The sequence below is a fragment of the Homo sapiens genome, chromosome 15 (genome assembly GCF_000001405.40).
Source record: "Homo sapiens chromosome 15, GRCh38.p14 Primary Assembly".
Taxonomy (NCBI): domain Eukaryota; kingdom Metazoa; phylum Chordata; class Mammalia; order Primates; family Hominidae; genus Homo; species Homo sapiens.
In genome coordinates, this window is record NC_000015.10 from 38,534,427 (window position 1) to 38,562,013 (window position 27,587).

Genomic DNA, 27,587 nt, shown 5'->3' on the forward strand with positions numbered 1-27,587 from the left:
TGTCATATTATGGTGTCCAGGAATTTATGGAGCTCTGAATATCTTGGTTACAATTGGCTTTTAATTATTTACTTGTAATGGCTGGGGGACACCATAACATGGACAATACACAAGCTTTAAATTAACCCTGACCTGCAATTTCAAACTTTTACAACAGGCCTTTAAGCGGAGTCTTACTAAAGCAGGAGAGGGGCTGGCCAGGCTCATCTCTTCTCTCCCACCCAACTGCTGGGGCAGTGATGACAGCTGGTGCCACAACCAAGGCCACAGACACAGAAGAGGGAAAAATCTGGTTAACCCACCCCCAGACAAAGGTGATTTGTTCTAACCAAGCCTCCCTCAACTCCTGTTGCAGAGAAGCCAACGTGGAAAAGACTTGAAGGAAAAGAACCCATGCTTCCTGCCTCTGTTCTATTGATATTCACTGTCCTGCTGGGGCCAGAGTAGTAGAGCAGGAAGGAGGAGCAGGCCTTTCAAGTTGCACAGCATCTAGGTACACAGGAACAGACCTGTACAAAATGAGCACATGCCCACACAAACCATCCCTGAAGCAAGCGAGTGGCTGAAGAACCACACTATTCTCTCTGGGTGAGAACACCTGATAATGATATGTTACGTTTTTGTGGCACTTAGGTTCAACAAACAGCTTCACTTGTGTTGAACATTTGCATTGTACAGCAGCTCAATGCAGCAGCAGAACCATGAGCTGAAATTTAAAAATGAGAAAACTGAAGCAACATGCCTCAGCCATGGTGAGTAGAGGAACCTCCACAAGAAGGGCCCTCTCACTCCCAGCCCAAGGCTCTTTCTTTGGCATGTCCTTCTCCTCGGGGCTTAGGAGGCAGGTAGGAATATACTTGGAAGAGCTCTACCATTTTGGCCATCCATGTTACATGGCTAAACCTCTCACCCACACCTCTATTCTTTCTTCCTCCCCAGGAAGCCCTACACCCCCAACAGACCCACCCAGCCCTTCTCACTGGAATTATGGTACATACTTTAAAAATGTCCTTAGAAAGCCTAATCCTTAAACCCACCACTTTTCATGACATCAACACAAGGCAGCTATTATTGGCACCATTTACTCAGAGACTCTGTGAGTCAGTGGCCAGGGGGTGAAAATTCACGTCCCCTAAGGGCCCACAGTGCCTGCGCTGGTCCATCTCTCCCTCTTCCCACAGCAGAAGCACTCTCTACTGCCTCAGCCAAACCAGACATCAACAGAAACGCTCCTCCCTGGGCCTGGCTTTCCTTCCAAAGTGTGAAGCTCTATGTAAAGAATGACCTAGATTTTTTGGATGAGCAGTTGAAGTCTATAAATGTCTAACCAAGTGCATGAATTGCCTAAAGTGAGAAAGAGCTTTTAGCTGTATTGTCTCTGCTGAGCAAGACAGCTGGCCTTCCTTGGGGATTGCAGTCTCGATCTGGACTTGTCATGTCTGAAGAATCATGAGTCTCAGAAGTCAGGAGGGAAGTTGGTCCTCTTCAGTTCTGGAAATTGGACACAAGTCTGTGGGTGGGGTTTGGGGACTGGGGCTAGGAAATAAACAGAAGAGCAGGGAAGAGGTACTGCAAGTCCCGAGCAGACCCAGTGAGCTGACTCTGGGACAACGCTATGACTTCAAACTCTAAGAGCATTTGTTGAAGTCAGTGCCGACTGAATATACCTGGTGGCTACTTCTTCTGGGTCCCATCAAACTCTCTAGGAACAATTGAATTATCTGGCTGGGTAGTTATGCTACAGTTTGATTCTTTGATGAGCTGCCATGCACGCAACCCCATGGCTCATAGACATTGACCATTCCCATGCAGCACTATAGACATGAGCCAGGCAAGGGAAGAAGGAGCAGCGGGGCCCTGTCCTAGCTTCCCAGAAGGACACAGAGAGCTGCCAGCAGCTTGCTGGGAGGAGGGCTGGCAAAGGGCCAGTGGACCCAAAGAAAAAGAAATAAACAAACTGGGAAGAAAATCTGGGTCAGGCTCTTACCTTGCTCACTGGAGCATATTTGTATCACGTCATTCTTATCTATTAAATTCTTGGCCTTTTTTGCATATTTTCAGACATGCCCAATAGGCACGAAGAAGCAACTTGGAGAACTTCCCAAATACTTACACAACAAAATAATATAAGGCCCATCTGAGAATTACTGGTTAGCCATGACCTCAGCCTTCCTCAGACAATTTTTCTCAATGAGTGACTTGGTCCCATCAGACCCACAAGCCTAGATAATAGATAACCTCATTCCAGTGCATGATGGAATTGTGGGAAACAGTGTATGCTGACATAAAATAGAAATCCACTGACCATAGTCTTATTGTAAAATATGCTTTTCACCACAGAAACTGTTCTTTAATTGCTTATAATTCTCTGCAATGAACAGTCTCGTACAAAAAAACATCACATCACCATGTAGGGTAAAAAGTAACTGAACAGAGTCTTTTGAAATCAGATAGAAATTATTCTGAAAGTTTCCTCACCCCTTCTTTGGTTGTGGTTAGGATTAGATGATGTTTGATTAAATACATAAAAATGCTTAGAAAAGTGTGAAGCACTATAACAGTGATGAATTATTCTTATTTCTCTTGCTAGATTTAAGCACTATTTTGTTTTTTTTTCCTTTGTTCTGGCTATTTTTTTTCTTTGTTTGGCTATTCCAGACTGGAACCATGATTTTTTTGTCCCTTAACTATGACCACTACTCAAGGAGTGGCTGTCCACTGTAGTTCATCACTGTGCCAGCGAGACTGGACCCCTCAAGCATGGGGTCCTCCTTGGCAGTTAGTTGGTGGCTGTGTTAGTCCATTCTTGCATTGCTATAAAGAAAATATAATTTATAAAGAAAAGAAATTTAATTGGTTCAAGGTTCTGCAGGCTGAATAAGAAACATAGCAGCATTTGCTTCTGGGAAGCCCTCAGGAAGCTTACAATCATGGTAGAGGGTGAAAAAGCAGGCACGTCACATGGTGAAAGCAGGAGCAAGAGGGAGAGGGAGGAAGTGCCACACATCTGGCTGGGTAGTTATGCTACAGTTTGATTCTTTGATGAGCTGCCATGCACGCAACCCCATGGCTCATAGACATTGACCATTCCCATGCAGCACTATAGACATGAGCCAGGCAAGGGAAGCAGGAGCAGTGGGGCCCTGTCCTAGCTTCCCAGAGGGACATATATCTCATGAGAACTCACTATCATGGGGACAGTACCAAGAGGAGGGTACTAAACCATTCATGAGAAACCTACCCCCATGATCCAGGCATCTCCCACCAGGCCCCATCTCCAACATTACATTTCAACATGAGATTTGGGCAGGAACAACATCCCAACTATATTAGTAGCCTTCCAAGCTTCCCTTCAATCCTAGGTTTTAAGCGCACTCCCCCAACGCCAGAACCCTCAAGAGTTTACAGAGGTGCTAGAGAGAAGTGAGCAGGAGGACCTGGAGAGCCACTCTGAAGTGAGAACTGCACCGGTGAGTGAGGAATCTCTTACTATTCAAAGGAAAGAAACTGGTCTCTATTCAGTAGTCAAGAGCTGAATAGGAATGTGCTTCAAGGGGCTGGGCACGGTGGCTCATGCCTGTAATCCCAGCACTTTGGGAGGCTGAGGCAGGCAGATTACCCGAGGTCAGGAGTTCAAGACCAGCCTAGCCAACATGACAAAACCTCGTCTCTACTAAAAATACAAAAATTAGCTGGGTGTGGTGGTGGGCGCCTGTAATCTCAGCTACTCAGGAGGCTGAGGCATGAGAATAGCTTGAACCTGGGAGGCGGAGGTTGCAGTGAGCCAAGATTGCACCACTGCACTCTAGCCTGGGGGATAGAGCAAGACTCTGTCTCCATAAACAAAATGAAACAAAAAAGAATGTGCTTCAGAACATCCTAAGTCATGAATTGATGTGTTGTATCACTGTCCTACAGAAATAGCCAAAATGCAACACTGAAACTAACAATGTTGTTACTTATTGGAAGATGGGGGAGACCAGGAGAAATATTTGAGATTGTTGGAAGAAATGCAGCATCTAACCAGAAGAAATGAACTACATTCAAGGTTTAGCCACCCCCGTCTTCTCTTTTTGCTAACATACTTGGAGCACTTCCTGTGTACCAGACACTGTTTCAAGACAGCCTTTACGTATATTAACCCTGTGAGACAGGTGCCATCTGACAGATGAAGAAACTGAGGCAAGGAAGTAAGGTAATTTGTCCAAGTTTACACAGCTAGTAAGTAGTAGACCTGAGATTCAAACCCAGGCTGCCTGGCTCTGGGATGGCCCTGATTGTTTCTGAGCCTCAATTTGCTCTTTGCAGAATGAGAGCTTCATAATGTCTTACGCCCACCCCTTCCAACAGAGAGATAATCCAGAGATGGCACTCAAGATAAGAAAAAAGTGTTAATATCTTTTGAGGAGAACAAGGTTCTGAACTGAGTTCACACCACGGATGTCTGGTTAACTTGTGGGTCCCAAATAGTTACGGTGCCTGACAGTTGTCACGTAGGCACATGAAACCCTCACCCTGGTGCTGAAGTACTAATAACCTCTATTTATTAGCGTTTTATGAATGACCACTCTCCTCACACGTTGCCTCATCTGAGCCTCACAACTCTGAGAGATGGGTATTATTTGCATTATTTTATAGGTGAGGAAACAGAGAGTAAGGTGGTATGACTTGCCTAAAGTCACCCATCTTATGAGTGACAGTGCTGTGACTTGAGTTCCAGTCTTCTGAGGTAAACCCTGCCCTTTCCACCAGATACCACTGCCTCTCACCCTGACAGCTGTAAAGATAAAAAGCACATAGTCTACCTGGGTATTGAGGGTTTCCAGAGCTGGCCTGCATGCTAAATGAGAATATAATAAATGCCACCATATACTGAACCATCCACCATGTGCCAGGAGTGAACTAGGCCATGTTACAGACATGCTCTCAATATTTACTACAATTCTGCATGATCGATGTTTTCTCTGTTTCACACATGAAGAAACAGAGTCAAGAGAGGTAAAAATATCTAGTCAATGTCCCACAGCTAGGAAGTAGCAAGAAGGGGCTACAAATTATCACCCTGGTTATTTTATCATTATGTTTTAAAGTTATTAATATCTACCACAGTCCTGCATTGCCGTTTTTTTTTTTGTTTTTATTTATTTATTTATTATTATTATACTTTAAGTTTTAGGGTACATGTGCACAATGTGCAGGTTAGTTACATATGTATACATGTGCCATGCTGGTGTGCCGCACCCACTAACTCGTCATCTAGCATTAGGTATATCTCCCAATGCTATCCCTCCCCGCTCCTCCCACCCCACAACAGTCCCCAGAGTGTGATGTTCCCCTTCCTGTGTCCATGTGTTCTCATTGTTCAATTCCCACCTATGAGTGAGAATATGCGGTGTTTGGTTTTTTGTTCTTGCGATAGTTTACTGAGAATGATGATTTCCAATTTCATCCATGTCCCTACAAAGGACATGAACTCATCTTTGCCGTTTGTTTTTATTTTTATTTTTTGAGACAAGGTCTCACTCTATTGCCCAGGCCGGAGTGCAGTGGTATAATCATGGCTCACTGCACACTTGACTTCCTGGGCTCAAGTAACCTTCCCACCTCAGCCTCCTAAGTATCTGGGACTATAGGCACACATCACCATGCCAGGCTAATTCTTTTTTATTATTATTATATTTTGTAGAGATGAGGTCCTGCTGTGTTGCCCAGGCTGGTCTTGAACTCCTGGGCTCAAGCGATCCTCCCACCTCGGCCGGCCAAAGTTCTGGGATTATAGGCATGAGTCACTGTGGCCATCCCTGCATTGCCTTTTAAATGGGAATCCTTCAAGAGTAAGTAAAAGGGTTGTGTCTATTTTCTGTCTGTTCCCTACAGTCTCTAGTTCTCTGCTGTACACACTACACTGGGGCCATTTCCTTCATTTAAATCAAAGCATATAAGAACAAACATTAACATTGACTGGCAACTAATGATAAACACAAAACAGTAACTGGGCACTGAATATGAGGAAAGAGTGAAATGCATTTGGAAGAGAAAAGTGGCTAAGGATTTGTATCCCCAGGATCTGCAGACCTGAGGGCATGTGGGAAGGCGATGGTGAGGAAATTAAGACAGTTTTTAAGGAAGTAAAAGGGTAAAAAGAGGAGGCAAGAAACTATAAAGACAAAGCAGTGACTAAGATTTAGACTGTCCCTTTAATCTATGTTAATGTCTCTGGCATTTAACTCCATTTACAGATCTAGGCAGAGCAGCTCCTTGCCATATGGTGACAATCAGATGAGTCTGAGATGCCCAGATATCTTTAAGGATCCTGAATTTTAAGGTCATTGTGCAATAGAACAAGGTGTCCTCAAATAAGGAAAACTTAGGTTAAAATTCAAAAAGCCTTTTTAGGTTTTTGTTTTATTTAGCTTTTCCAAAATATATGTACTGAAACATTGATATTTTTCAGGCCTAAAAAGGGGCCATCCTTGAAGGAGCTGATATTCTGAGTTTCCTTAGGACCTAACAGGCTGATTCCAGGATTTCTCAGATTTGCAGTGTCCTGCTCAATTACTCAACAACTCCTTGGTTTGCTCCTGGGAGACTGCTCTGAGCAGAGCAGAGCAGACCATGAGACCATGTTGAGGGCTGGGCAACCAACCCCACACACGGGCACTAGAAATACCACCAGGCAACCCTGACTTACATTTGTATAGCACTTTGTACTTTACAGAGTACTTTCACATGCATTATCTCATTTGACCATCACAACAACCTTTTGAGGTGGGTAGGGACTGTATCCACTTTACCGACAATAAAAGCATAAAGACAGGGCTAATCCCCAGCCTGGCCAGCGGGCGTCTAAATGAAGGGACATGTGCCATGCTGGTTAAATATTTTGAAGGCCAGGTGTGGTGACGTGTAATCACAGCACTTGGGGAGTCTGGGGCGGGAGGATCACCTGAGCTCAGGAGTTTGAGACCAGCCTGGGCAACGCAGCAGGACCTCATCTCTACTGAGAATAAAAAAATATTAGCTGGCATGGTGGCTCATGACTATGGTCCCAGCTATTTGGGAGGCTGAGGTAAGAGGATCATTTGAGCCAGGGAAGTGGAGGCTGCACTGAGCCGTGATTGTGCCACTGCACTCCAGACTGGGTGATAGAGCAAGACCCTGTCATTTATTCATTCATATATATATATACACACACACATAAATATTCTGAATGTCACCCCTGGATAAATCACTAACCCACGGATAATACCATCAAGTGGCAGAGCTGGCATCCTAGACTTGGCTTTTCTCATCACAAGACCAGAGTTCTTTGCTCAAAGAGCACTGTGATAGGTACTGTGGGATTGCAGATATAATAAGCACCCTGTCCCAAGCCTGAAGAAGCTACAGGCAATACTACAGTACATGGTACAGTCAGGGCCTAGAGGGAGGTAAACACGGGCAGTTCAGAGGAAGGGGAAAGTCAGATTTGACTGGAAGAAATGGCTAAAGCTTCATAAAGATGGTAGCATTTGAGATGGACCTTGAAGGAAGGGTCAGATTCTGATAGACTAAGAGGCAGGTGAGACTTTTCAAGACCTCCTGATTAGCTTACCAACAAAACTAAGGCTGGGCCTGGGGTGGCAGCTTACCCATTAGGTGCCTATAATCCCAGCACTCTGGGAGGCCGAGATGGGAGGATCACTTGAACCCAGGAGTTCAAGTCTTCAATAAGCTGATACTGTCACTGCAATCCAGCTTGGGTGACACAGAGGCAAGGCCCTGTCTCAAACAAACAACACACTAAACTAAAAAATAACAACAAAAGCAGAACAAAAACTGGTCTGACTGAAGTGGTGTTTACAACTAATTGATCACAACCAGTTACAGGTTTCTTTGTTTCTTCTCCACTCTCACTGCTTCATTGACTGGCCTAAACAAAACAACAAACAAAAAACCACCAACGGAACTCAAAATAGATTCCAAGGCCTTACCTAATACCTACTCCATCAAGAGATCCAGGGATGGAGCAGAGAATTTGCATTCTTAAAAAGCTCCCAAGGGATCAGATCAAGTTTGATTAGACTGATTTAGACCATTGAGTTCATCCTTGCCCTGGAGTAGATCTACAAGCTATACTAGATGACCCCATGAAGACCTCTTCCAATTTCAGAAATCGGCAGTGAAGTCTTTCGCCTGTTCTCAGGGCAACATGCAAGGGAAGTACTTAACACAGCTGATTTGGTGCCTGCCTATATTACAGACTCCTTGATGGGGCTTGGTTAATTCTAATTTCAAAAGCATGATCAGAAATCAATCTGGTGTGAGCCAGAGGGTCCCAATAATGGCAATTCATCTGGGCCACAGGGAATTTTCCTTTGTATACTAGCATAAAATGAAGTTCTTGTCAGATATATACATATATATGTGTATATATATATATGTGTATATATATACACATATATGTGTATATATATACACATATATGTGTATATATATACACATATATATGTGTGTATATATATGTGTGTGTATATATATATATACACACATACATATATATATTCCCCAAGTATTTTTCTTCCATTCATTTCTTTAATGGTATCTTTTGATGAGAAGTTTTTGATTTTTATAAAGTCCAATTTGCTAAATATATTATTTATGGTTAGTCCTTTGTGTCCTGTCTAAAAAATACTCTAAGTTTGCAAAAACATTGTCCTAAATTTCCTTCTAGAAGACTTATCGTTTTAACTTTACATTCAGGTTAACATTATTTACAGTTACATCATTTGATTCATCTCATTTTTTGTGTATGGTGTGAGACACAGGTCACAGTTCATTTTTTTTCATGACTGTCATTTGTTCCATCACCATTTGTTGAGAGGATACTCCTTTCTTCGTTAACCTGCCCTGGTGCCTTTGCTGAGGATCAACTGACCGTATATGTAGATTTCTTCCAGAACGTGCTATTCTGTACCACTGATATATTTGTCTATCCTTATATGTATATCACATGGACTTGATTACTATAGCTTTATATTAAGTCTTGAAAACAGGTAGTGTAAATTTTCCACTTCATTCTTTTTCAAGATTCTGGTTATTCCAGGTCCTTTCATGTCCATTTAAACTCTGGTTACATCATCTGAAACTCTAGTCTTTTTTTTTTTTTTTTTTTTCAGCATTTTCTCTCTGAGATATTGACCTGTCATTGACTTTACTGACCTTTCTTTTTTTCTTTTTTTCTTTTTTTTTTTTTGCATCCACTATAGTATTAAGCCCATCCAGTTAATTTTTCTTTTTGGTATATTTTATTTTTCAGTTCTAGAATTCCATTTGGTTCCTTTAATTGTTGCAATTTATCTGCTAAGGTCATCTTACTTTACTTACATCTATTCATCTTACTTTAAATCCTCCAACATATTTATTTATAATAGCTGCTTTAAATTCTCTATCTACTAATTCCAACATTTGTGTCATCTCTGAGTTCATTTCTATTGATCTTTTTTGTTCTGGTTATGAGTCACATTTTCCTGCTTCTTTTTCTGTCTTATAATTTTTATTACATGCTGGGCATTGTAAGTGCAATATTGATAATTTGAATTATTAATATGTTCCTTTATGGTGGTATTTAATTCATGGGACCTTAAATTAATCCTGTTGAAGCTCAGATTTAGGCTTCATTAGGGTGAGTCAAGATTAGCTCATATTCTAGGGCTAAAGTAGCCCAACTCCTACATTGTAGTCTTTTTCTCATCCCACCTGAATGCCCAAAGTGTTATGTCTCTCCATTTTGGCTGGTTGGAACTGCGTTATTTCCCAGACCATGAGACCTCCTTTAACTCAAAGACCCCCAGGAACTATTAGGGGTCGTAGAGTCTCATCATATCCATGCACAGTTTAGTCTTTGGAAATACCTTCTCTCTTGTATGCCACTCCACAAATGCCAGCCATCCCAGAATCCCTGAACACAAACTGTTCTCTCTGTGCTGTGGTTTGAATGTCCCTCCAAAATTTGTTGAAATTTAATATTGTCATTGTAACAGTATTAGGAGGTGAGGCCTTTAAGAGGTGACTGGGTCACGAGGGGTTCACCCTCATGAATGGATTAACTCCATATCTTGGGAAAGGGTTAGTTATCTTGGGAGTTTGGCCCCCTTCTTCTCTGTCTTGCAAGCACTCTCTCTGTCTGTGTGATGCCTTCTGCCATGTTATGACATAACAAGATGTGGTCCCTTCATTTTGCACTTCCCAGCCTCCAGAATCATAAGCCAAATAAATCTCTTTATAAATTACCCAGTCTGGTATTCTGTTGCAGCAGCAGAAAACGAACTAAGATACTCCGCAAGGCAAGATGCTGCTCACTGGGCTCCAGTTTCCTGTACCATGATTTGTAAAGTGCTCTCAGGCAGAAAGCCAAGAGGAGTTTTGAGTTAACCTCACATCTTTTTATTTTATCCACAATCACATGTCTGTCTTGTTTTCTGAGACCCAAAAATAGTTGCTTCAGATATTTTGTCCAGTTTTATAGCTGTTGGTAGCAGGAAAATAATTCTAATATCCAGTATTCCACTATGGTCAGATATGAAAGTTCTCCTTTTGATGTTTAATTTTTTTATGGGAAGTCCCAGTTCTTTGGTAGATTTAAATTTGTTTACCCTTTATATGTCCCACTGGAGGTAAATAACTCATACTAGCTCTTCTATGGTTATTACTATTGAGACATACATGTTTACATTATTAAGAAAACAAAGGGGAAAACCCACTTATTTGTCTTCTTTTCAGGTTCTGCCATCTTATATCCTCACAGATGTTATTTCTGTATAATTTCTTAACTATTTATCTCCTCTGCACTCTCTCTAGCCTTTCCATTCCCATCTTAAAATCCAGAAACTAAACTTGAATCTAATAGCATGCTGCACTCTAGTGTTTGGTCAGATCTTGGTTATGACAGATACTGCTTCATATGCCCAGCACAATAGCCTTCCTTTAGGAAACGCTCCTTCCCCAGATTCCGTCATGTGGTTTTAGAGAGAAATGCTGGATTATTAAATGACTCCAACCCTGTGGCCACAGTCAATTCATTCAAGCAGTAGCCACCTGGCCAAATCTGAACCAAAGTTCTTCCCTGACAGTTTTTTTTTTTTCACTGAACTTGAGGGAAAAAAATATTAAATTTCTAATGGTAAGAGATGCATGATTTACAGCTGTTAGTGCCATGTAGAAAACAAATCTTCAGTGAAAGAAAATGATGAGCTGACAAGCAGAGAGAAGCAAGTCAGACAGAGAAGAGACACATACATACACAGAACATATGCAATAGTCTCCTAAAAGTATTATAGTACCTAATTTCAGGCACTCCTAAGGCCTGCAGGCATCCTGTACTCTTCCTGTGTTTTAGATATATGAAATACTCCATATTATTTCTAATAAATTCCCAAAGATAGTTCTGGTTGGATTTCCATCATTGTCCTAATATTTTGAAAAATGAGAGACTTTTCAGGTCTTCCTTACTAAACACTGCATTAATACAGCTCAAATTCATGGGAAAATTTAAATTATAACACTCTCTTCTAGTCTCATAGCTGTTCGTGTCTATTATGACACCATCCTGGTAATTTTTTTGGCATAGCCATTATAACCATCTTGTATCTCCATGATGTGATTTTGGATCCTCTGGCAAGCTGCATTATTAACCTGAAAAAGCCATACACTAACACTTAACAAGTCTATACTAATAATGATTGCTACTGTTTTTGAGTATGTACTGCAGATTGGAATTTTAATAACATTTTACATAAATTATAACTTTATTTATTTATTTATTTATTTTTGAGATGGAGTCCCGCTCTGTCACCAGGCTGGAGTGCGGTGGCGCAATCTTGGCTCACTGCAACCTCTGCCTCCTGGGTTCAAGTGATTCTCTTGCCTCAGCCTCCAGAGTATTCTGTTGCGGCTGGGGCTACAGGTGTGCACCACCACACCCAGCTAATTTTTGTATTTTTAGTAGAGACGGAGTTTCACCATGTTGGCCAGGATGGTTTCGATCTCTTGACCTCACGATTCGCCTGCCACCTCGGCCTCCCAAAGTGCTGGGATTACAGGCGTGAGCCACCGTGCTGGGCCATAAATTCTAACTTTCTGGTAAGATGCTTACTTCACGACAATCCAGGGGAAGTATCTACTAACTTTCAGGTTGATAGAAACTGAGTCTCCGAAACATTAAGACACCGGCTAAGGGAATAAAGTTACTATGTGTCAGCATTAGGACTGGACCTCAGGATAGAATGGAGGCATTACTCCCTTAACATGGAAAGGCTATTTCTGTTGAGGCAATCTCTAATTATTTTAACTTTTGGAAAGTTAATATTCTGGGGAAGACACACGACACTACTGACTCATGTTGAATTTACAATCTACTAAAATCTCTTGGTATTGGTCATAAGAACTACAATTAATACAGCTTCCCCCCATCCAGAACATATAGGAAGCACTATTTTTAAACTTAAGTGCGAGACTTTACGTTTTATTGAAGTCCTGTTTGTCTAAGTTCTTTGTGCTATGTTATTCACATCCTGAATTCTGCTAATTATGCTATTTCCCACAGTGTGTCTAACCAAAAACACAGATTGTGTTTAAATCTGATGAAAATGTCCACAGCCACTCATAAATGGTTCACCTGCAGAAGGACATCCTTCAATACTCATATCTACATGTATACACTTTGAGTACGACTATAAACTAGCTTTGAAACTGTTTATGTGGATTTTCATGTAGCCTATATTTGCCCATCTAACATTTACTTTTTGACTTCGTAGCAGAGCCTGTAAGTTCCCACACACATACTCTCAGACCTTCCCATTGTAATGCATGCCAACTCAACTTCCACCAGCCTGAGAGGTTTCTGGAAGCCCTTCACACCCCCACCTGTGTGCAGGGCAGGCCAAATGTGCTGCAAACTTAACACCCTCTAAAAGCAGCCCTCAACCAATGACCGATGGGACTTGGTACATCAATGCTCCAGTTCCTTTCCCTCAGATAAGATAGGTCTGAAAAGAGCCTTCCACTCTGACTCCCAGAGTTGTAACTTGGCAATGCACCCTCCAAGAGCTGCCTTCCCTACTCCCCTACCAGTTTTTCCTAGGACCACCTTCCAAAGTAAACTATTTGTACTTAAAAATCCTTGTCTCAGGATCTGCTCCTGGGAAAACTCAAACTAAGACAATCTTGTTAAATTTCCACCCAAAGTAAAACCACCTTTAAAATTTTTTACCATTATTCTCCATTTTAAAAACGGGCAAACAAGCCCCACATGTGGTAAATGGCAGACTCAGTGACTCAGCTTCAGATTCCAAAGACTGCCATGTGACGTGGCCTCCATAATCTTTTCACCGCTTGCTGAAATCAGCTGTGGCACAGTCATGACATTTCCCTGCTCAAAACTGTGTGTGTGTGCGCGCGCGCGTGTGTGTGTGTGTGAGATGGGGTGTGGAGGAGAGTATTACATTCTCTTACTTACTCAACTCCAACTCCCGCCTCTGACAGTAGCATTAAAGATTACAAGTTTCCAGGTTTTTTTTTTTTTTTTGGTCTTTTTGGATACCCAGGAATTGAGCATCTCAGTGCTGATTGGGGAATGCGCTGTGACACGAGATGTCAAGTACATGACACGGGTGAATTATTTTCATGATGTGTAACCAAAGTAACCATTTTCATTCTTTATTTTCCTCTCCCTTCTTTAAAACAGACACAGCCACTCTATTTTGCCACCTAAGAAAATTTAGAGAAATTTCCTAAAATCCGTTTGAATTTTTGTAATCCTAAATCATCTATTTGTCCTAGGTTTGAGGACACTTTTAATTTTAATATATTGTTAGAGGTCGGGTGCAGTGGCTCATGCCTGTAATCCCAATACTTTGGAAGGCTGAGGTGAGCAGATCACTTGAGCCCAGGAGTTTGGGGCCAGCCTGAGCAACACAGTGAGACCCTGTCTCTACAAAAAAATACGCATACACACACAAATTAGCCAGACATGGTGGCACATGCTTATAGTCCCAGCTACTCAGAAGGCTGAGGTGAAAGGATCACTTGAGCTGGGAAGGCAGAGACTGCAGTGAGCCAAGATGGCATCACTGTGTTCCATCCTGTGTGACACAGCAAGACCCTGTCTCAAAAAAAGATTATGGAAAATTATAAGCATGTATACCATAGTGAGCAAAACAACGTAAGGGACCTCCATGCACTCAGCCAGCTGCAACAATGATCAGCATACAGCAGATGTGGATCCATCTATACTCCTATGAGTGTGTATGTGTACACACACATAATTTTTAGAAAAAAGGTTCACATACTATGACTGTTTGAAATGTCTTTTAAGTCTCTTTTAATCCAGAGGGTCCTCCTCCAACATTTCTCCTTGCAATTTTGAGGGTGCACTTTCTCAGTTAAATGAAGCTTAGTCCATCTCAGGTAGACACTGGTAGTTACTGACAAGGTAATGAGACTCTTAGGCACTGGGACAGAGAGGGTGGGGGGACCACAGACACAATAAATGTAGGGAGCTTTTCCTTTAGGGATTAAAGCAAGCCAAACAGTCAGGTGGACCCCAGCATCCATTCCCGAGAGCAAGTGCTCATCCTTGGCAATAAACGAAGACTGAGTCCAGGGCCAGAGGCGAGGGTCCTATGGCTCCCATCTGGGAAGCAGCCCCTCAGAAATGGCAGTAATTCACAGTCTGGACTGAACTCCCCAGGACTGGAGGTAAATGGTGAACCCACCAAGGTAGGTTTGGATGAAGTAAATATGGAATCCAATTGTGGTGCTCATGAACTGGGAAGGAGGAAGGGCAGAGAGTGTGAAAAATCCCCTATGCATTTGGCATTTAATAAGTGAATCCAAAATTAACCAGTGATTAATTGCTCATCAGATTTAAGGATGTTCCATAGTCTATAACTACATTCCAGCAAGATAGACTCATAGATGATTAACAGGGACATTTCTTGGCTTCCTGAATATTGTGGGTTCCCCCTTAAAATGAGGCTGTTCACAAGATTACAAAACCAAGTCCTATACCATGATTCAGATAGATCAGTGAAGAGGAGACAGACATAGCTCCATTTGCTCCTCCAACTAGAAATCCTCACTTTCTGGCAAAGATATACCTTTGATAAGTTCTTGGATGGCTTCATCCCAAACTGCCTTACTTTTCTGGTGACTGCATTCTTTGTTACAAAACCGGCAATCCCTGCTTCCCTCTTCCCCTCTGCTTCCCTCTTCCCCCTCTAGTCTCTACTCCCTTTGTCCATTTCAATGAATCACTGGTGTCCTTCTAAGTACATCTCCATCCTAGGAAGCATCTTCTGCTTGAAGGCTCTAGTGAGAACCTCAGCAATCTCTCCAGGGCCCTTGACTACTCTTTGGGGAAAAAAAAACAAGTAGTTAACATGGCTTCCTTCACACCACTGCCCACCATCTCTTCTGTGCTGCTGAAGAATCACAGATGTACCAAATCTTTGTGCTTCTGCTACGTATCTCACCCAGTTGCTAACTTAATATTCCCTTAGAAGGTTAATAGGCTGGGCACAGTGGCTCATGCCTGTAATCCCAGCACTTTGAGAGGACGAGGCAGGTGGATCTCTTGAGCTCAGGAGTTCAAGGCCAGCCTGGGCAACATGGTGAAACCCCATCTCTACTAAAAATAGAAAAATTAGCTGGCTCTGGTGGTGCACACCCAGCTACTCGGGTGGCTGAGGCACGAGAATCACTTGAACCCAGGAGGTGGAGGTTGCAGTGAGCCCAGATCATGCCACCATACTCCAGCCTGGGTGAGACTCTGTCGCCAAAAAAAAAAAAAAAAAGAAAAGAAAAGAAAAAAAAGTTAATACAGACAAAAGATCTTTTCTTGTTTCTGAAAGTAAAGTTTCTCTTCAGCAAACCCCATCTCACTTTCACTGTAATACAAAATAAAAAAAAGTTCACATCAAGAATTTTTAATGGAAGTTTTGTGTTTCCTTCATTTATTACAACTGTAATCAGCCATAGTTACTGCAATTAGCATGTAGCATTGAAAAGAACTGAGTACTCTTCTTTTCTTGTAATGTCTTTAATTCCTCATTACCATCATTTCAGTTGCCAAGCAACCTTCACTTTTATGTCCTATATTTGAAGGGACTAAGCAGAATTATTTTTAAAAAATCAATTTTAAAATAGAAGAGCAACCTTGTGTGCTAGCATACCTCTTTATAAATAATAATATTGATTTCAAGATCAAAATTGTTTAAGATATAAATTATGGGAAGCAAAAAGTTATAGTGAGTTTATCACCAAAAAGTTACTGTGATTATAATACATGTAAATATCCATAGAAGAGAATCAAGAAAGGCACACCCATGAAAGTTGATAGTGCTTATCTTGCTCTTGATGGTAAAATGAGTGACGGTAATTTTTTTCTTTTTGCCAGTCTGTATTTTCTACGTTCTCTATGGTGAACATGAATAATTTTAAAAGTTATTAACATTTATAAAGTAAGTATAAATGCTGAGGGACAGTTAGATCTTTGCAAATACAAGAACTTATAAAATAGTGGGAACTAAATGAGACTACATATGTAAAATATTAACATAAACACTGTGTTATTCATAGTAAATGCTCAAAAGTTAGCTATTACTAAAATAATATTTTAAAAGTCTATGCTAGTGGTTGATCTTATGTATATCTTACCACAAAGTCTATGTAAGAACAAGAAACAGTCTAAATTAATAATTTTTAAAGACTGAGTTAAAAATTTGTTGGGTTTCTAAGACTCCATCCTAAGAATATTGACTCTTCAAATATATCCAAAAGCACATTCTTAAAATATGCAAATTCCTGAAGGACTTTCTTCAAGTTTAATATCGTGATGGAGATACCCCATTACACCTTCTTCCAGACACTTTAAGTCTCAGAAATCATTTTAATGGTATCACAGCGAGAAACGGAGGCTCTGAGTTACAAAGCGACCAGTCCAAGCGCTGTGGTTTTAAGGAAATGACAATCTCAGAAACAAAACTGAAGGCTTCTTTTTTGCCAGCAATAACTTATTGACAAGCTTGTATTGATCATCCACGACAATGTATGATATGGAATTATACACTGGGTTAAGTAAAACTGATTAAAATGACAATGGACTATTAATTAAATCTTTGGAATAGGGATTTTTTTAAGGTTTAGAATTTTAAAAAGCTAAATAGAAATGGGCAAATTTAAACACAAAAATCCGAAGTTTCTATACATGACAATATCAAAACCAACATAAAAATGAAAATGAGAACAGGAAAAAAAATGCCTATAGTAAATGATATTCAAAGAGTTAACAGCTTTTTATATAAAAAGCTTTTGCACGCCTCTAATAATAAAAGCATTGAGCAGCAAGTGATAAATAGGCAAAGGATATGAACAGACCGTTCATAAAACTGGAAATACAGTAGGCAAACAAACTTATGAAAACATACTCAACAAAAGCTTGGTTATAGACACCAGTAGTGCCTGTTACCATGCAGTGGGTAATGAAGGCAAATGATTAAGCAGATGGAATCAGAAATCAAAATAGAGATAGCATATAATACATGAAGAACAAAAGTTCACAAAATTGAGGGTTGGTCAGAAACGAGGCTGGTTAATCTTAAGAGATATTTTAGAGGTGAATTAAAACAATACAAACACGAAATAACTTTGACTTCAGAATGAGAATCTCTCATGCTGTTTTCATGTTCCATTGTCACTTCTTTAAGAAAACTTCTCAACCACACTGATACATGATTTCCTTATCTCTAAGGTCCATTGTTCCTTTCCTTTGAAGAACACACAGAGAGGTTGTTTTATAAGATACATAGATGAAAGCAAAATAATAGCAGAATTATTACTTTCTCTTAATTAAGAGATAAAAAATAGAAGTCTCAGCTTTTAGGGTCCCTTCCCACCTCAACATTTTGTTATGTAAGCACCCTCTGTATCTGGGAAACAGTGGTGTGCTGGTAAATGTTTAACAATGGGCTCTCCAGGGGAGGGATTGAAAAGGAAGCCCTGATTAGTGATGTTTGTTGATTTCCACGGTGTAAATACTCCCAACAGACTACTAACAAGCTACTAACATGACTTCACTGAACACGGAGCTGGGAAAAGATGCATGCTAGCATACCATTATATAGCGTTTGTACCAGGTAGACATAACAGACATAACCTCAAAAGCAAAGATAATAGTAAAATGTAGTCATGAATTAGGAAGTGGTGAGTTTTGAGTATTTCTTATCTTTGTTTTTAATATAATTTAATTGTAAGCATATATAACTTAATTTTCAATCATGGCTGTGTTTAATAACTAGCTTGCAAAATTCCTGAAAATTTAACAATCTGCTCTTGTGAGCTGGTATGAGCCAGCCCAGCACACCACTGCTAGGAGATAATGAAATAATTTTTGTTTCACAGTTGCATCTATGAAGAAAGAAATTAAGACATAAATCCACATCGTTCTATGTGTCTTCAATATATGGCAAATTATTTTTGCCCTCTGGTCTTGTGGCTCTTACACAGACCTCTGACTACATAGTTGGTGGGACTCAGTGCAATTAAAAATGATGGTCCCTTATTCAAAAATTATTAAAAATTTCAAGACTGTGACAGCATTAAACCAAGCATGGGAACCTGTGGGCCTTCAGAGGTGGCATGCCCAGGAAGCTGGCTCTGCTTACATTCTCACTCTTTCCCCGTTCTTTTCCTTCCAGCCACTCTAGGGCAAGCCCAACTAGGTTGTAGCCAAAGCTCACTGTAACTCCAGAACAAGACACAGCAGCTATAATTGTTCCGGGCAGGAGTGGACAAGTTCTAACATCAGCAGGTGGGCTGCGGCTGGGGCCCGAACTGTAGATGACCTTCTCCAGGGGTCTCAGGGTCCAACACAGCTGTTTCTGTCAATTACTGAAAAGACTGTTTTTGCTTTCACACAGTTTCCCAATGTGTTTTCATCACAGATTTCATAAACTTCAGTTCAACATATTGCCTTACATAATCTGTTGCCAAAGTAGTACTTTTGGGTAAGTACTCAGGAGAAGCACTCCCCAGTTCCTCCCCAGCTAAGCCACTACTGTAGTCCTCTGACCCATGGGGACGGGCATAAGTTACGGAGTAGACCCTCCCAGCACCATAGGAAACTGGAGTGTTGAATAAAGGTGGAAATGTACACTAGGAATATGGCCTTTGAATGCAAGAATCAAACTGTAGTTGTAACAGACATCCACATTCTATTTACACAGCCAACAGACAGGCGTGCTGTACATTTTATAGGGGGCTTACTGCAGTTGAGAAGAGATAGGAATGCAGAAAAATCTGATAAAAGTGCTCCCAGGGTTTCAGACCTGCTCTTAGGCAGGGATCTCATTAGATCTGGCTGGATTGTTTTAGAGATCTCCAAGAGGCTGGCTTCACCATGTGCTTTTCTAGTTCACATAGCTGAAAAACCTATATGCTCTATTGCTTCCCTGGAGATTTGTGCCCTTCAGGTTTTCCTAGGATGTCTGAGAAAAATGATCTGGGATGTTCAGGAAGCAAGTGTGCTATACGACAGTATTTCTCAACATCCATTCATGGGTCACCTCCATCCAAACCAGTGACTGCTGGCTGAATGGCAATCTCTGGGGTTGACTGTGAGGAATTTGAATGTTCAACACACTCCCTGATTATTCCTCACGCCAAAGTTGGAGAATCTCTGGAGTAGCAGAAAGAACGCGAACCTCGGGGGAAGACTGACCAGAGTTCACATCTCAGCAGCTCTCTCACTAATGAGCTGAACCACTTTCCACAGGTCATTTAACTTCCCTGAGCTACAATTCTCTATTAGTTAAAGGAGCAAAATAACAACCACCTCATAGGGTTGTTGGGAGGATTAATTGGGTCAAGTTAGGTAAAGGCTCAGGATCCTACAGAGTCCACAATAAGTGTTAAACTACTGTCTGTCTCCAGCTCTCTCAGAAGTAAAACTCATCTCTCTGGATGGCTTTACTGAATTGAACTGCTCAGAATTCCTGAGACACTGTCTAACTTACGCATAAGCATTGCCTCTGTTCTCTACAGCGGGGCCTGCAACAAACACTGCCAAGCAGGAGAGCACAGATATGAATGAAGGGGATTTCCCATCTCCTCCTTTCTCAGGCCTGGCAGTCACTGAAACCCATGCTCATGAGAAGGCAGACCAGCGTGGAGAACTGGTGATGCCTGCTCATCAAAGATGCAGCAAAGGCCTCCTTGGAATAAATAGTGTCCAGTCTTATAATAATGCTAATTCATTCTAGAGGGCTAAGAGCGGCCTGGGAGCTGCTCTGATGACTAGAAGCCTCAGGATGCAAGTGCCCCCGAGGACCATCCTTTACACGTGAAATCTTGTAGCCACGACTACTAGCGACTGGGAGGTTCCACTGAGGAGGCTTCTGGGAAAGCTGTGTTCTTCACACAGGGCCTGCCATCAACAGTGGCTAAGGCTTCGGCCCCTTCCTGACACTACAACTGACTTTGTTCCTTGGTGTTGCCTGTTATTAGGTCTGCATCCCCAATGATGTCATGGCCCTTGGCTTCTGGTCTTATGCTCCTGTTGCCCTCTGGGCACCTTGCTTTGGTGCACAGACCAAGTTGCAGAGTGGTAAGAAATACCTAATCTTTCCTTTGTTACGGAGAGGGCTATGGCCCTGAGTGTGTGTTTGCCTTTTGCGGCTCCCATTTTGAAAAGAGACGGAATGTTTTACTTTCAATAAGCTGAGGCCTATAAAATGCTTTTAATATCCAACTGCTCCATGGTGGAGAAAACATACTTATTAGTTTTGGGGTATTTCTAGTTTGGAAGGTCTTTGGATAGCATTAGTACAATTCACACAAGAATTCACTGATTCACACTTTGCTCAATAGAGAATATCAGGCAGACACCTGGTATATAGATTGGGTGCAATCAATATTTCTTACATTGAATGGAGTTTCATTTCTAACTGGGGAGACACCAGGATTGCAGAAGAGTGGGCACCAGGTGCAGCCCTGTCCTATGTGGCATGCAGGTCTCCCCTGAGTGTAGGAAGGCCTGTCTTAGGAGAGAGATCCAGGCTTGCCCCAACCCAGGTTGCAAGTGGCTGCTAGGGGTAGGGGAAGGAGAACAGGAGCAGCATATCCTCTCTTGAGACTGGGGGCACAAGGCAAATTCTTTCAGTTCTCAAAGGTTTATTTTCCTGTTTGTTCAATGGAGAGAGTAATATCTGACCTGCCTATTTCAGAGCTGTTCTCAGTATAAAAGAAAATCAATAAAAATGGAACTCTAAGAAAAAATAAGTCAGTCCATAAATAGAAGATATTAGGAAGCATTTCCCTTCACACTAATAGGTAAGATGAAACATGGAGTTTCTTCCCACGTCTCACTGGGAGTAGGAGGTCTGCTTGCTGGGGTGGAGTTGTGTATGTGTGTTGGGGGGGCCCGTTCTGAGGCAGGTGTGCAGTTTTCTTTCCGATGCTGTCAGAAGTTGTCTTGCATTGAGAGGGAGATAAGGAAAGAGCTTTGTGAATTCAGACATTTGAAGCCTTCCATTTGGCCCCAAATGCTGGCAGCCCTCTTGTAAAGGGAAAAAAAATAAAAGCCCAGATGATCTCATAGGTCTTTTCTACCTCTGAAACAGATGGTGTGATTCACATATATTTGACATAAGTGTAACCAGGTTGTGATGATTTGCCTTATTATGCTCAGCTGAAGAGAGGATTAACTAGCAATAATATGCTGAGAATGTAAAGCATGATCTCTGGTTAGAACAGAAGGCGGGAGTGGGTTGTTTCATGGTTAAAGCAATGAACTATGACTCAAGGCCGTAAGTTTCTAGTCACAGATCTGTAACCTTGTATGTGACACTGAGAGGCTTGCTAGAGGCCTTTGAAAGTGCTCTTAATTTATATGTACTAGCCACTGCCCTTAAAAGCAATATAAGTCCTTCTTCTGAGAACAGTGTGGGTGGTAATTAATGGTTAATAATGCTAAAGAGATAGCCATCAGTGAGACTTCTGAATGCCCACGATGCTTTAAGCAATACTCAGACTCTTATCTAGAAATGCTAGCAAAATGCAAATCCCACAGTTTGTAGAAAATCTATTCTTTTTTCCTTTGCGACAAACATCTACCCTCTCCAGCATTGTCCAACTGACTTTTTTGCAACAATGGAAGTGCTCTCTCCTCTGTCCAACAGTAGGTGCCATTTGTGGCTATTGCACACTTCGCCTATGGTTGGTGAGGCTTAGAAATGAAATCTTACATTTAACTTTAATTGAAATGTATACGAAAATAGCCACATGTGGCCAGTGCATTGGACAGCACAGCTGTAGCCAATTCAAACCTCCTGAAAGCAAGAAGGTGAGGTTGAGAGGCAGTAGAAACTAAATTAACAATTATTCAGTCTTTCTCTTTAAAACAGTTTCTTTCCCTCTTTTATTCAAGTTGCTGGGTGGAGTAGCTGAAATTACGGTCTGAGGCAAAAGAGTCCCAATAATAATAATGATAATAATTTCCCCTCCACACTTCTGTACAGTTTTTCGTGGGTTTAAAATGAGAAGACATCTAAACTCATTAACAAAAAGCTAGCTAGACTGCTTTAATCTAAAGCACCACTTTTCTCTACAAACCTGAGAAACTAACCAGTAAGGTAAACTTCAGGAGAAGCATTAGCCTCACTCTGTTCTACTGTCAGATGACCTCTTAAAGAGACCTACGGAAGCACAGGCATATATTTTGCTATGGGCTTTTCTCCCTCATAAAGTCTGCTGCTGATTCCTGGCTCCATTTCCTCTGTAGCCCAATTTCCATGTCCCAGCCCCATAGATGGGTCAACTGATAACCAAAGAGCAAGAAGAGAGACAGACAAAAGGTGCTGGCTTCTGTTCCTTCCAGACACAGAGCGTCTTTTCTTTTTTGCCTCTTTCATGTACTGTGATGAGAAACTCTGCAGTACATAATACACAAAACCCTGAGATCTTACCTTACTGACTTCCCGCAGCATTCCCTTGGCCCGTGAGGGACTTGAACAAATGGTGGCTGTTCTCCTTGACCTATGTCCTCACCCATGAGGTGCACTTACTCAAACTCTACATGGTATAAAAACTTACTCTTCCTGCATGCCTTCGGTATTTATCACCCTGTCCTTTGTATATATATGTGTGTGTGTGTGTGTGTGTGTGTGTGTATATATATATATATATTTCCTGAACAGTATGTTTCTCAGGTGTTGTAAGCTCTAATGGAAGGGAGAGTTTGGTCGCTGTAATTCTTCTTGAGCACTGCCTAGCACAGTGTCAGATACAATTAAGGGCTTAACCAATGCTGCTTGATAATGGATAAAAGACTATTAGACTCAACGGGACTTTTACAGCTTTGGGATTTTAAGCCATTGTTTTCAGTTCAACATATTCCAGAACACAATATATTGTCGTTGCCTTTGGAAGGTCTGTTAAGGGGATTGAATTAGGCTTGGTTATTTGGCGGGAAGGACTTCAGAATCAGTCATGTATTTTTCAGGTTGATAACATGATTCTTTGAAGATTAGAAAAACAGTCTTGAACTCGGCCGGCAGTTGCACAACAGGTATGGAAGGAAGGAAGGTGGTGTGATAAACATGTTTCTCGTCCCTCTTTTTTCAATAGTGAAACAGAAAGAAGAAAAATCCTTATTCAGGAAATAGTCATGGTGGCCTGCTAAAGCCGAGTAAATCTGACTGCTGAAATGGTGTAAGGAACTTTGCAGTTTATTCAGGTTGGGAAGGAAGTGAGAGTGGAGTACATGATGAACAATGGCCCCACGTCAGCCGCGCCTCCCCGGTCTCCACCATCCTCTAGTTTATCTCCTCGCAGTATATTTTCTAAGGAGATTATTTTGAAATAGAAAGCCATTCATTCTGCTCCCAGATTCATCTTAACTGAATGATTAAAGTGTGAAATAAGATTGAAGTATAAAATAAAGAGAAATCTAATGAAAATTTAATGCTAAACTAGTAATACTAAAAATTCTTCCTCTTTTCCAAGTTAAAAAGTCTACAACAAACAGCACTTTAAAGCAATGATTCGCGAAGTGCGCTTCTTGGGTCAGATGCAACAGCATGGCCTGGGAACTTGTTAGAAATGCAAATTCTTGTGCCCCACCCCAGACCTACTGGAGTAGAAACTCTGGGGTTGGGGCCCAGCAATGTGTGCTAAAAAACAAAACAAAGAAACAAACAAAAAACAGCCTCCATGTGTGATTCTGACACTCTAATGTTTGAGAACCAGTACTTTAAACCAACGTTGAAATAGTTGAAACTGTTCAATGCTGTACTACATTGTACTAAATGAATATCCCTAACATGTCAAGTATTTCCCAATTCTATACATAAGGTCTGAGCAAGCACTTAACACACACAGCCACTAGTCCGTCATTCTGAGATCTCATGGATCATGAGCTGCCTAGGATCTGACTAAGCCTCCCTTAGGTTCCCAGGAGGCTCCCAGGGTTGGGGTAGGCTTGGGGGGGTTGGTATGTCTGAGCTGTGCCACACAGGCTCCTCTGCTTCACCGTGGGAGATGGAGGGATACAAAAAGGGGTCCACAGGAGGAACAGGAAGCTGGAAATCTTTGAATTCAATGATTTCATTGAAATCCATCAATTTTAATCATTTTTTGGGAGGAAATATTTAGTACTTTTCAATCACTATTTCACAAATAAAAATCCAAAAATACACCACGCTTATAACATTTTAAAAAATCTTTTCAGATAATTGCTTGATGGCTGCACTAAGCTGTGCCTCCCTCATGGTGGGCAAAGGTGCTGACAGAGTGCAGCGTCTGAAATGTGCGTGTCCACATTTATTTCCCAGCCCCTTGACCCTGCATTGCAACATTTATTAACCAGTGTCTTCTCGTCACAAACCTCCTGGCTTTACCCAGTCCTTTCCTATTCCACCACATCTGCCCTCCAGATTGCAAGGGGAATTATTGGGACTTTATTCCTCCAAATGATTCCAATTTCTGTTTGATAACAAAGTTTGCTCATGTAACAGTCTTTATGTGCCCCAAGAAGGCAAGGACAGAAAAGTCTCAAAGCACCAGATGCACAATATCATTTTATGATATTTTTCATCACAAGAAAAACCTCCATCCTAAGAAAAATGGAAATGCAAACTCTCCTAACTTTTCTCACTTTAAAATTGCACTTCTCATCACGACCTATTACACCCACATAGTCATGTGCCATAGGCTCTGCAGACTGTCTCCAACATTTCAAAGGCTCAAAAGCTATTTTTAAAGCCAAAATACAATCTAGATTGCTGTTCCGTAAAGCACTTTTAAAGGACGAACAAAGTAATAGAGTGATTTTTATGCCTGTGGGCAGTTAGCCAACTTACCAAAAGATTGAATGCAGCTGTCAATGAGATCGTCCAGGCTGGCTCCTTTGGCTAAATGTCCCAGAGACACCATCATTCGGAACTGGGTGATGTGGGCCAAGCTGGGATGGGAGGGGAAGGGGCTGTTGGCTGGCTTTGCCTCTAGTCTTGCTTTAGAGGCAGCTCTGCAGCCATGGGAAGGTTTCCTGGGGAAAGAGAGAAGGCAGTGAGGGGACAAACGGGCAGCTCCACGCTCTGAAGGCAGATTGGAGAGGAAGGGAATGGAGATAAGACAATTAATCTCAGGAGCTGGGCTGATAGAAGCCATACCCCTCCCACTTGGCAAATGCACCAAATGACTGGTTGGCTGTTAAAGAGACATCTCCCCAGCAAAGGTGAGATTTCAGGGTTGCAACTAGTGCTCTTCATCCTGGCATTAGGATTGCTCTGTCCTACTGTCTCCCACTTCCTGAAGGGGAATGGCAGAGGCAAGACTATCTTGGCAGTCCTTAGCTCCCAGCAATGTATACATTTTTTCAGCTACTAAGCCACTGACTTGAATCTTAAAAATTATTTACATTGGTTTCTTTGGCTAACTTTGGCAGGGCATGGTGGCTCACGTCTGTAATCCCAGCACCTTGGGAGGCCAAGGCGGGTGTATCACCTGAGGTCGGGAGTTCGAGATCATCTTTGGCTAACTTCATTAATCTTGAGCAATACCTGAGATACTACACAAGGTCAGGCAGCCTCAGAATCATCGTTAAGGACCTTGGGGGAGAAGTCAAAGACTGAGGACTCAAGTGCAGGAAGTGAGGGGTGATGATGGTGGTGTTTAGATTTTAAGCGAGTCCTGCCTTTCTTACAAATCTTGGTTGGTTTTAAGATATTGTTTTTCATGGTTGATAATACAGGTAACCATTATGAGTCATTTTTGTTACTAAACATCGTTTTTTCAAATCCTTACTTGGGTCCTGATTGAAACAGAAAGCAGAGCTGTGAGAGCGTTGTTCCAGCACTCAGTGTAAAAGGGCAAGTTTGGATCTAGAAATGGCTTAAGAGTCCAATGGACTTTCATCTACTCACACGCAGCTCTATCTCTGGTCATGACCTCATCAGTACAAGTCATTTTGCGAAATGATTTGGGAAGTTGATTGTCTTCTCCATTAAAAAATACACATACACACACAGATCCATATCTATAATCTTTTATGGTTTAATAGTGATGAGTGTTGCTGGTAACTCTCTTGAGCATTTAGTTAATTCTCCTCTCTCTACTGTGGCTTTGGTTATTTTGTAGTTTACTACCAAAGCAGCAAAGAGAAAAAGGAAAAAAACGTACCTCTGAAGTGTAACTTTACTCACTATATATGATAAATGCATAATGGCATCAATTAATCTCTAAGTGTTTATTCTATGAGTAAGGCATTGTGATTGGCCAGAGAAGACCACAGCGAGATAGTCTAGGTGAGGGTACTTTATATACTCATTACATACTAGCTGCTGTTGTTACATAATGGCAGTCTAGAAGTTCCTTAATACAAAAATATAGCTGAGGAATCAGACTGAGATAATGAAAAGAAAGCTACATAAATGTTAAATAAGTGTTCTATGAGTGTCAAGAGTAATAAGCATGATGTTCCCAGAGAAGAAAGAGGCAGTTTGTGGGACAGTGTCTGGGAAAGCTGCTCTGACAGGATATAATCTCAACCAAAGGGGCTGAAGAAGTGCTTAGATCAAAATAAAATGCTAGGCACATGTGGGTTTTGGGAAACCAGCCTGCTAAGAGATGGTGTATAACTGAACTATGGGGCCACTCAGTACACAGCTAGACCTGTGCAGGGGCACCCTGGCCCTTCAGGTTGTTTCAAACTAGCTCCAGGGCGCTGGTCTGCAGTGGCCGCTCGGCTCTATTCTGACCTGATGCAGGTCCAGTGAAACTGAATCAACAATTGGTTATTGGGCATCTGCTAACCCTAGGCAGTAATTCCTGAAAGATCAAGTCGGTGGTACAGGACTCAAGTTTCTGGCCATAATTGATTTTCAAACAGGCCCTGTGATAGCCCCAGAATTGGATCAGTCTCTAAAAGCAAAATAATAATGGTGACATGAATTGAGTACCTATGCTATGGCAGGTACCGTGCTGGGGACTGACCCTGTCTTGAGGCTTACAGCCCAGAAGGATGTTATCCCCATCTCATGACACTGAAACTGAAT

The 27,587-nt window shown here is 41.6% G+C and overlaps 1 protein-coding gene across 9 annotated transcripts in view, besides 2 other annotated features; it reads right to left on the bottom strand.

Annotated features, from left to right (window-relative positions):
• Window positions 1–27,587, bottom strand: part of RASGRP1 (RAS guanyl releasing protein 1) — a 76,712-nt gene that overhangs the window by 46,324 nt on the left and 2,801 nt on the right. For 6 of the 9 annotated variants that reach the window (XM_047432074.1, XM_047432075.1, XM_047432076.1 and 3 more), the window contains exon 1: window positions 25,395–26,187. In XM_047432074.1, coding sequence (XP_047288030.1) covers window positions 25,395–25,701 — 307 coding nt within the window. In that variant the 5' untranslated portion in view covers window positions 25,702–26,187. Of the gene's footprint in view, window positions 1–25,394; window positions 26,188–27,587 lie in introns of those variants that run through there. The other 3 variants (NM_001306086.2, NM_001128602.2, NM_005739.4) reach the window with 1 other exon arrangement.
• Window positions 20,119–20,198: an enhancer, noted in NCBI's record as "active region_9205". NCBI's record gives its function as "activates an Ori minimal core promoter by ATAC-STARR-seq in GM12878 lymphoblastoid cells {active_cell/tissue: GM12878}" and the evidence as "EXISTENCE:reporter gene assay evidence [ECO:0000049][PMID:35858748]".
• Window positions 23,644–23,703: an enhancer, noted in NCBI's record as "active region_9206". NCBI's record gives its function as "activates an Ori minimal core promoter by ATAC-STARR-seq in GM12878 lymphoblastoid cells {active_cell/tissue: GM12878}" and the evidence as "EXISTENCE:reporter gene assay evidence [ECO:0000049][PMID:35858748]".